This window comes from Homo sapiens, chromosome 16, assembly GCF_000001405.40.
Source record: "Homo sapiens chromosome 16, GRCh38.p14 Primary Assembly".
NCBI lineage: Eukaryota > Metazoa > Chordata > Mammalia > Primates > Hominidae > Homo > Homo sapiens.
The window spans coordinates 10,819,514-10,830,543 of NC_000016.10; the positions used below are offsets into that span (position 1 = coordinate 10,819,514).

The 11,030-nt window shown below is 51.0% G+C and overlaps 2 annotated features.

Moving 5' to 3' along the window:
• Positions 1,819-2,028: an enhancer, noted in NCBI's record as "active region_10389". NCBI's record gives its function as "activates an Ori minimal core promoter by ATAC-STARR-seq in GM12878 lymphoblastoid cells {active_cell/tissue: GM12878}" and the evidence as "EXISTENCE:reporter gene assay evidence [ECO:0000049][PMID:35858748]".
• Positions 9,433-9,502: a silencer, noted in NCBI's record as "silent region_7194". NCBI's record gives its function as "represses an Ori minimal core promoter by ATAC-STARR-seq in GM12878 lymphoblastoid cells {active_cell/tissue: GM12878}" and the evidence as "EXISTENCE:reporter gene assay evidence [ECO:0000049][PMID:35858748]".

The following is an 11,030-nucleotide window of genomic DNA, read 5'->3' on the forward strand; positions in this document are numbered from 1 at the left end:
AAGGGGTGGCGCTGCTATAGCCACAGCTTCAGAACCACAGTGAGATCTGCGTGCATCGCCGTGCCAGGCACTTATTAAGCGCAAAGTTATTAGTAGTATTAATACTATTATTGACAGTAATAGTAGTGTTTCTTGAAGTGAAAGTCTTCCTGGGTACCTCCCAGGAAAGAAAACTTGTCACCTGAGGGTCTTTCCTGGCCCAGGACACAGTGACTCTCCTCTCCTGCGTGCCCTCTCCCTGTCCTGATCCCCCACCCACGGACAGAGGGCTGAGCATCGAGATGCCAAAGCCAGTGACCCTGCCCTTTGCCCTCCCACCATGGACAATAGGTACGTGTCCCCTGCCCCTGGTGACCCCAAAGAGGGCTCCTGGGCCACAAGCCCCTGACACATTTTCCCCACTGCTGGTCTCCATGGGCGGAGGTGGAGGCAGGAGCTGTCTCATCTCTGATCCTGGGCCTGGGTTCCAGGCTTTCTGTCCTCCGCCCCCACCCCAATTCCCTAAGCTGACCCCACAAGGGCCTGCCAGGTGTGTGTGGAGGGAAAGTGCTTTCTCCTATGCCATTTCTCTTTTTTTTTTTTTTTGAGATGGAGTTTCCCTCTTGTCACCCAGGCTGGAGTGCAATGGTGCGATCTCGGCTCACTGCAACCCCTGCCTCCCGGGTTCCTGCAATTCTCCTGCCTCAGCCTCCCAGGTAGCTGGTATTACAGGCGCCTGACATCAACCCGGGTAATTTTTGTATTTTGTATTTTTAGTAGAGAGGGGGTTTCACCATGTTGGCCAGGCTGGTCTCCAACTCCTGACCGCAGGTGATCCACCCACCTTGGCCTCCCAAAGAGCTGGGATTACAGGCATGAACCACTGCACCCAGCCTCTACTATGCGATCTTCAGGAACCAAGATTTATATATATACAATGTGTATATATGTGTGTGTGTATGTATATATATATATATATATATATATATATATATATATATATATATATGTATATGTATATATATTTGCCAAACTCTGCTGCGATTTGGATAGCTTCTAAAAGACACACTGCCCAGATTGTGTTATGGACCAATTAAATCAGGCTCTCTGGGGATGGGACCCTATACCAGTGCTTTTAAAGCTCCCAGGTGTTGGGCTGCAAGGTAAAGAACCAGTGATTTAAATGAGTGCTTCTGACCCCTCAATCTGCAAATGAATCTCCTGGGGTTGGCTTAGAAGCTGGATGCTGACTCAGCGTTCTGGGGGTCTGGGGGTCTGGGCAGGGGCTGAGATTCTTTCTTCCTTTCTTTCCTTCCTTTCTTTTCTTTTCTCCTTCCTTCCTTCCTTTCTTTCTTTCTTGAGATGGAGTCAGTGGCTAGATCTCAGCTCACTGCAACCTCCACCTCCTGGGTTCAAGTGATTCTTGTGCCTCAGCCCCTTAAGTAGCTGGGACTACAGGAACATACCACCACGCCTGGCTAATTTTTGTGTTTTTAGTAGAGACAGGGTTTCACCATGTTGGCCAGGCTGGTCTCGAACTCCTGACCTCAAGTGATCTGCCTGCTTCAGCCTCCCAAAAGGCTGGAATTACAGCCGTGAGCCACCACATCCGGCTGAGATCCTGCATTTCTGAGAGCCCGTGGGAGAAGCTGATGCTGCTGCTCCCTGGACCACCCTTTGAATTGTAAAGATCTAAACCACCAAGGCCTGGTTTTCTAGAAAGGCCTGTGAGCTCTTCCTGCCCAGAAGGGTGAACGGAGAGGCCCACTCCCAGCGGGGCCCCAGCAGCCTGGGAAGGGGATATTGGGAGGAAGGAGGCAGGAGGGCAGCTGGAGGGAAGAAGCCGTTGCAGAACATTTAGGGGCTTTTTCTCTGACCCTAAGAATCACCAGCTGTTGGTGTCTGTTGAGTTGGGGTTCCTGGAGTCATGGGAAAACCCCCGTGGAATCCCCAGTCAGGACCAACTGTCATTCTCAGCCACTGGGTTGGAGGTTCCTCCAGAAATATCCTCAGCTCCTGCCATCTGGAGGTGGCTCTATAAATACAGGGTCACTTCCATCCCTCCTGACCTGTCCACATGGGGCAGAGGGCTGAGGATACAGATGCTGGGGCCACATATGAAGCCCTATTATTCCCTCCTTGGAAGAAAGCACCCTCCCTCTACACGTGGCCCAGACGGCCCTCTGTGGGGTCAGCTTCCTGAATCTGAGGGGTGGGCAGAGGGCCTGAGGGTTGCACAGAGAACTCATCTTGGTTTTAAAACTGGCTGCGGCAGAGACACCTGGTTGAAAGGTAGATTTTAGGCCGGGCACAGTGGCTCACACCTGTAATCCCAGCACTTTGGGAGGCCGAGGTGGGTAGATCACTTGAAGTCAGGAGTTTGAGATCAGCCTGGCCAATATGGCGAAACCCCATCTCTACTAAAAATACAAAAAATGAGCCGGGCATGGTGGCGCAAGCCTGTAATCTCAGCTACTCAGGAGGCTGAGGCAGGAGAATCGCTTGAACCCGGGAAGTGGAGGTTGTGGTGAGCTGTGATTGCGCCACTGCACTCCAGCCTGGGCCACACAGTGAGATTCAGTCTCGGAAAAAAAACAACAAACAAACAAACAAAAGGGTAGATTTTAGGATCTCACTCTAGGTTTTCTGAACCTCCAGGGTTGCGGCTTGGAGATCTGCCTTAATAAGAGCCGCAGAGAGGGCTTGGAAGCCCGACCTTTGGGAAACACTGGCCCTCTCCCCTCCCCCTACCCACACTGGTCTTGGCCCCTGAAGGATTTGGGGAGTAGACCTGTGAGAAGCAACCCCATCTCCGATCCCTGCAGCTGGGCTTGGGACCTTGAAGCCAGAACAACCCCAGGGAAGGAGGTCCAGGCTCAGGTAGCCACTGGCCTCTGGCTGACCTTGGAGGTCAACATCTGGAGTCTGCAGGCTTTGTTGGGGAGGGGACAGGTCACCTTAGGCAGGGGACTTCACCTCTCTGGCCTCAGTCTCCACATCTGTAAAGTGGCGCCATACTTTCCCCCTACCTGGCAAGGATGATGAAGGACCAGAGAAAACATGTCAGATTCCTTTCTCTGAATAGGGGCTCAGGAAACAGCGGCCTTGTTGACAGTGACTTAAGGTCATCAGCAGAGGGGTCTCGGGTCAGGAGCCCCCATGGGCCAGCAGCACACAGGACAGGAGCCTCGTGTCAGGGGCCTCTGCTGGGGATATCTGTCTTCCCAGCAGAACAGGGCTGGCCTTTCCTGAGTGGCTCCTGTTGGCCTCACACTGCGTGCCCCCGGGACATAGGGCACCTGGACAGAGGTACACACACAGTCTTTCTCTCCAGTGACCCCAGGAGTCCTGGACCAGGAGGCAGAGGCTTGGGTGTGAATTCTGGCAAACACAGGTCAGGGTGCTGGAACCCAGAGGCTGGAGGAGAACATTCGGCCAGGGGAGGAAGGAGACGTCAGTCTGGCAGGACCATGGCAGGCTGTAAGACACGCAGAGTGTTTGACTCTTTAGCTGCGAGCAAAGGGCAGTTGGCATAGAGGGTCAGTGGGGAGTGGAAAGAGTTTGACTACATCTGGGGCCTGAAAAGGCCCAAGATGCACTCCGTGTCCCCACCAGGCAGGATGGAAGTGGCAGCCCCCAAACCTGTCACACCAAAGCCAGCAGCTGCTCATCACCCTCAGCCCAGCATTCCTATGAGTGGCACTCCCTACGATCCCACTGGCCCCTAAGATCTGCACCCCACTCCCTGGCATCTGACGACGATCCTGTCATTTCTCCCCAGGTAGGGTTGCCAGATCTAGCAAATAAAAATAAGGGAACTCAGGCAGGGCATGGTGGCTCACGCCTGTAATTCCAACACTTTGGGGGAGGCCAAGGCAGGCTGTTCATTTGAGGTCAGGAGTTTAAGACCAGCCTGGCCAACATGGTGAAACCCCATCCTGATTAAAAATACAAAAATTAGCTGTACGTGGTGGTGTGCACCTGTAATCCCAGCTACAAGGAAGGCTTAGGCAGGAGAATTGCTTGAACCTGGGGGACAGAGGTTGCAGTGAGCCAAGATTGCCCCACTGCACTCCAGCCTGAGCGACAGAGTGAGACCCTGTCTCAAAAAAAAAAAAAAAAGAAAAAAATACAGAAACTGAGCTAAATTAGAATTTGAAATAAATGACAATTTTTTTAGTGCAAGTATGTTCCATGCAATATTTGGGACATAATTATACTTAAAAATGATCACTTGTGGCCGGGCATGGTGGCTCATGCCTGTAATCCCAGTACTTTGGGAGGCTGAGGCGGGCAAATCACGAGGTCAGGAGATTGAGACTATCCTGGCTAACAAGGTGAAACCCCATCTCTACTAAAAATACAAAAAATTAGCCAAGCTTGGTGGCACGCGCCTGTAGTCCTAGCTATTCAGGATGCTGAGGCAGGAGAATCACTTGAACCAGGGAGGCGGGGGTTGCAGTAAGCCAAGATTGTGCCACTGCACTCCAGCCTGGGTGACAGAGCAAGACTCCGTCTCAAAAAAAAAAAAAAAAAAAAAGATCACTTGTGTTATTTCCAGTTCAAATGTATCTGGGTGGCCCCTATTTTCTGGCAGTCCTATTGTAACCATACACAGGCTCGGCTGCTGATCACTTACAAAGCCAATAACAAGGACGAGATGCAGTGAAAGGAAAGTGACTTTATTCCAGGGCTAGTGGTGGGGAAATGGCCCAGGCTTGTGTTTACAGGAACCATTTCTAACTTTAGCCTGGGGAGAGGGACTTAAAAAAAGGGCACTTGGAAGGTTGGGCATAGCGGTGGCTCACACATGTCATTCCAGCACTTTGGGCGGCCAAGGCGGGAGGATCATTTGAGCCCAGGACTTCGAGTCTAGCCTAGGCAACATGGCGAGGTCCTGTCTCTACAAAAATAAAAAAATTAGCCAGCCACAGTGGCACACACCTGTACTCCCAACTACTCTGGAGGCTGAGGCAGGAGGATCACTTGAGCCCAGGAGGTTAAGGCTGCAGTAAGGTGTATTTGTGCTACTACACTCCAGCCTGGGCGACAGAGCTAGACCCTGTCTCAAAAAATAAAATATTTTAAAAAGGGAACCTAGAACGGGAGTGGTGCCGGGTACAAAGCCAGTTTGTCTTGTTCCAGCGGCTATCTCGAGCCTTGCTCCACCTGAAGCATAGCCTGGCATCATCCCAACCATGGCCGGGTTGTTGACAAACCACCTAGAGATAATCTCTGGAATTTTGCAGCTGGGTCTCCAAGACTGATATGTTTCAAGGTTAGCTCCTGGAACTTCTAAGTGAACACATAATTAATACAAGCATACAGCCAGATAAATGTGCATGGGATAAGGGAGAGAGACAGAGTTTGAAAATACAGTTCAAGGCTATATTTTAAGACTAAGGAGGGAGGCCGAAGGGGAGGATCACAAGGTCAGGAGTTCGAGACCAGCCTGGCCAGTATGATGAAACCCCGTCTCTACTAAAAATACAAAAAATTAGCTGGGCATGGTGGTGCACACCTGTAATCCCAGCTATTTGGGAGGCTGAGTCAGGAGAATCACTTGAACCCAGGAGGTGGAGGTTGCAGTGAGCCGAGATCATGCCACTGCACTCCAGGCTGGGCAATAGAGCGAGACTCTGTCTCAAAAAAAAAAAGACTAAGGAGGGAAAAAAAGGTTTCTGCAGTTTGTTTTGACGTTACATCTTGAGACTAAGGAGAAAAGAGAAAAAGGGAAAAAAGTATAAAATGCGTTTTGAGGCCTGGCACAGTGGCTCATGCCTGTAATCCCAGCACTTTGGGAGGCCCAGGCCAGGTGGATTACTTGAGGTCAGGAGTTTGAGACCAGCATGGCCAACATGATGAAACCCCATCTCTGCTAAAAATACAAAAATTAGCTGGGCGTGGTGGTGGGTGCCTGTAATTCCGGTTACTTGGGAGGCTGAGGTAGGAGAATCACTTGAACCCGGGAGGCGGAGGTTGCAGTGAGCCGAGATTGTGCCACTGCACTCCAGCCTGGGGAACAGAGCAAAAAAAAAAAGCATTTTGAAGCCAAGCTACTCAGTTACGGTATGACTCCAGGCCAGGGGACATCCAGGCCCACGAGGTTGGGGGGCTCCCACCCTCCTGTTTGTATGGCTGCCCCTGTGACTGTCACACTGCTGCCTGTTTCACAGAGGCTCCTTTCAGGTGACCTAGTCCAGTCCTTCTTCAGGCTGGCAGCCAGTGCAGGTTACCCAGGAGGGCGGAGCAGAGGGCCAAGGGAAGAAGGAGGGTCCCCTCCCGTGGGCTGCCTTCAGGGCCCCATCCACCTTGTCAGGCGCAGGGAGTGGTACATGGAAATAGCCCTGGATTTCTACCCAGACAGACCTGGGTGCAAATCCTGACACCAGCTGTGCCCAGCACGCTGGTGTGGACATGGACGCAGCTCTTAGCAAGAGATATAAGCTGCTGATTGCTGACCCTCTTTAGGCCAACTTTCTAGTTACAGACAAATAAATACAGCCAAGTGAAAAAACAACAAACTAGAGCTTGTCAAAAGTGCACTAAATGCCCCCATGCAAAGCTGTGCTGTCTAATCCAGGAACCACAAGTCATTACTGAGCCCTTGAAATGGGGTAAGGCTGGATGGAGATGGGCTATCAGGGCAAAGTACACAGCAGAGATTGAAGACTTGTTAGGAATAAAAGGCCGGGCGTGGTGGCTCACGCCTGTAATCCCAGCACTTTAGGAGGCCGAGGCAGGTGGATCACCTGAGGTCAGGAGTTCGATACCAGCCTGACCAATATGATGAAACCCCATCTCTACTAAAAATACAAAAATTAGCCAGGTGTGGTGGCGGGCACGTGTAGTTCCACCTACTTGGGAAGCTGAGACAGGAGAATTGCTTGAACCCAGGAGGCAGAGGTTCCAGTGAGCCGAGATCGTGCCATTGTACTCCAGCATGGGCAACAGAGTGAGACTCTGTCTCAAAAAAAAAAAAAAGAAAAGAAAAAAGACTTGGTAGGAATAAAAGAATGTAAAATAATAATATTGAAATCATGTTTTAATTGTTTACATGCTGTAATGATAATCTTTTAGACATAGTGGATTAAAGAGAATGTATTATTATAATTAACAGCCTGGGCAACATAATGAGACTCTGTCTCTACACAAAAATAATAATTAAAAAAAAAAATTAGCCTGGCGTGGTGGTGCATGCCTGTAGTCCCAGCTATTCACGAGGCTGAGGTGGGAGGATCACTTGAGCTGGGGAGTTAGAGACAAGCCTGGACAACATAGCAAAACCCTGTTTCTATAAGAAATACAAAAATTAGCCCGGCATGGTGGTGTGCGCCTGTAGTCTCAGCTACTGAAGAGCTGAGGAGGGAGGATTATTTGAGCCCAGGAGGTCAAGGCTACAATGAGCCGTGATTGCACCACTGCACTTCAGTCTGGATGATAGCGAAAGCCTGTCAAAATTAAAATAAACGTCCAGGCACTGTGGCTCATGCCTGTAATCCCAGCACTTTGGGAGGCCGAGGTGGGCAGATCACTTGAGATCAGGAGTTCGAGACCAGCCTAGCCAACATGGTGAAACCCCGTCTCTACTAAAAAATACAAAAATTAGCCAGGTGTGGTGGTGCACACCTGTAATCCCAGCTACTCTGGAGGCTGAGGCAGGACAGTCGCTTGAACCCAGGAGGTGAAGGCGTCAGTGAGCCAAGATCACACCACTGCACTCCAGCCTGGGGGACAAAGCAAATAAATTTTACCTTTTTTTTTTTTTTGAGTTGGGGTCTCACTATGTTGCCCAGGCTGGTCTCAAAATCCTGGGCTCAAGTGATCCTCCCACCTCAGCCTCCTGTATAGTTGGGACCATAGGCACATGCCCACTCTGCCTAGCTTATTTTATTTTATTTATTTATTTATCTATTTTGAGACAGAGTCTTGCTCTGTCACCCAGGCTGGAGTGCAATGGCACCATCTCAGCTCACTGCAACATCCGCCTCCTGAGTTCAAGCAATTTCCTGCCTCAGCCTCCTGAGTAGCTGGGATTACAGGCGCCCGCCACCACGCCCAGCTAACTTTTGTATTTTTAATAGAGATGGGGTTTCGCCACATTAGCCAGGCTGGTCTGGAACTCCTGACCTCAAGTGATCCTCCTGTCTCGGGCTCCCAAAATGTTGGGATTACAGGCATAAGCCATCGCACCCGGCCTGCTAATTTTATTTTTTGTAGAGACAGGATGCCAGAAGCACAGAGAGGGGAAATTCCAGACCAGGGAACAAAAGGGACAGCCAAGTTTTGATGTGGCCCGCCTGGCCTCCCCAGCAACACACCCTGTCACCAGGGACGTGGAGAAGTCAGCAAACAGGCCAAAGAAGGCCTCTTGTCACTCAAGGGCCTGGACAAGAGACAGAAATGTCAGGTCAACAGGGCCTTCTCTGCGGCCAGCCGGGATGGGGGACAGTGGCTGTGACCCCAGTGGACAGGATGGGCCCTGGACCTCTGCCTCCTGTTGGAGCAGCCAGAGGTCGGCAGGCCCCTCCCATGGAGGCAGGGCTGGGGAGGTCATGACACTGGTCGCTCCCTTAGCAGCCGGGGGGTCTGAAGCTTGTCCCTACTAGAGAAAGTGACCTAGCCGGGCCCTGCTTGGTCAGGAACTGCGGATCTTTCCCACTTCTCCCTGCACCACTCATCATGCTCTGACCACAATGGCCAGACTCCAAGATTTTCAGAAACTTCCAAGCCTCTTCCTGGCTCAGGGCCTTCGCTCCTGCTGACTCCCTGGCCAGGAAAGCCCTTCTCCTCCTGATTTTCTCAGGGCTGAAAATATGAGGTCTCCCCGCAAGGGGCCTTCCCTGAAGCCCAGCTCATGTCCCACCCAGTTTCTCAGTCCCTCTTGAGGGTCTGGGATCTAGACTGTGGCCTGACATGTTTGTTCCCTTTCTAGCACTTTCTACGATCTCTAATTCTCTTGTTTTCTTATTGGTTTAGTAAGATTCCCCTCCCCATGCCTCCACTAGGGTACTGTCTCCATAAGGGCAGGCGTCTCTTAAGTTCATAGAGCATGGGGCCAGGTACACAGCTGGCATTCCACAAGCCAGCCAGAGAGTGGGTGAACAAAGGGATGAGCGACTCAGAACACACGCCTGGCAGCGAATCTCTGCAGAGTCCCCTGATGAGGACCTTACAATTCAGGGGACACAGAGACCTGGATTATTGCCTCCCGAGGGGTCTGGTCTCAATCTAGTTCTCTCTTTCACACACACACACACACACACACACACACACACACACACACACGCCACCTTTCAGCACAGGCCCACCTGTCCCCATCCCTCCCAAAACGCCCTGCCCTGCATGTCAACATGGAGGACGCATTTAAGCTATGAGGCGGGGAGCCCAGAGTAGCCGCTGCAGCATGCCTGGCCCTCCGCCGCAGGGAGGTTGGGTTGGGGCGGGCAGCGGGACTTAGATTACCCAGGACCCGATTTGGGAGCCCTGGGGGCCTCTTGCAGGAGGAGCCCAAGCAATGGCTGGCTGCCTGCCCTAGCAGGTCTGCGAGCCAGCAGGCAGGCTGCCACCACTTACGGGAAATGCTCCACTGAGGAGAAAGAGTGGTAGGTTGTTTAGCCCAGCCCTGGCCCCTGTCCAGACTGGGTCAGGAAGCTTTGCCCTGTGCCAGCGTCGCCCACGCAGGCTCAGTTCCTCCCCAGACGGCTTGTCCAGAGACCCACAAGGCAAGCCGGGGAGTCACTGCCCATCTCTCTCCTTCCTGTGTATCCAAAGCAACAACAACAAAAACCAAAACAGCAGTTTGTGGACTCAGACACTTTGCAGTCAGCGTGCTTTGAAGCTCAGCTCTGCCTCTTATCAGCCGGGAAATAAATAGCTTGGACAAGTTACTAAACCTCTCTGAACCTCAGTTTCCTTCAGTGTGAAATGAGAATCATGACCTGTTTTAAGGGCCGTGAAGGGGTGGCCTGCCCCTCCACACCTGTGGGTATTTCTAGTCGGATGGGACAAGAGACTGAGAAAAGAAATAAGACACAGAGACAAAGTATAGAGAAATAACAGTGGGCCCAGGGGACCCGCGCTCAGCATACCAAGGACCTGCACCGGGCACCGGCACCGGTCTCTGAGTTCCCTCAGTTTTTATCGATTATTATCTTCATTATTTCAGCAAAAAGGAATGCAGTAGGAGGGCAGGGTGATAATAAGGAGAAGATCAGCAATAAACATGTGAGCAATAGAATCTATGTCATAATGAAGTTCAAGGGAAGGTACTATGACTGGACGTGCACGTAAGCCAGATTTATGTTTCTCTCCACCCAAACATCTCAGTGGAGTAAAGAATAACAAGGCAGCATTGCTGCAAACATGTCTCGCCTCCCACCATAGGGCGGTATTTCTCTCATCTCAGAAATGAACAAATGTACAATCAGGTTTTATACCGAGACATTCGGTTCCCAGGGGCAGGCAGGAGACAGTGGCCTTCCTCTATCTCAGCTGCTAGAGGCTTTCCTCTCTTACTAGTCCACCTCAGCACAGACCCTTTACGGGTGTCGGGCTGGGGGACAGTCAGGTCTTTCTCATCCCACGAGACCGTATTTCAGACTATCACATGGGGAGAAACCTTGGACAATACCCAGCTTTCAAGGGCAGAGGTCCCTGTGGCTTTCCATAGTGCATTGTGCCCCTGGTTTATTGAGACTAGAGAATGGCAACAACTTTTACCAAGTATACTGCTTGTAAACGTTTTGTTAACAAGGCAGGTCCTGCACAGCCCTAGATCCCTTAAACCTTGATTTCATACAACACATGTTTTTGTGAGCTCCAGGTTGGGTCAAAGTGGCTGGGGCAAAGTGGCTGGGGCAAAGCTACAAATTAACAACATCTCAGCAAAGCAATTGTTTAAAGTACAGGTCTTTTTCAAAATGGAGTCTCTTATGTCTTTCCTTTCTACATAGACACAGTAACAGTCTGATCTCTCTTTCTTTTCCCTACAGGGCTGTTGGATAGAATGCAGGAGCTAATTTGTTTTTTTTCTTTTTTCTTTTAGATGG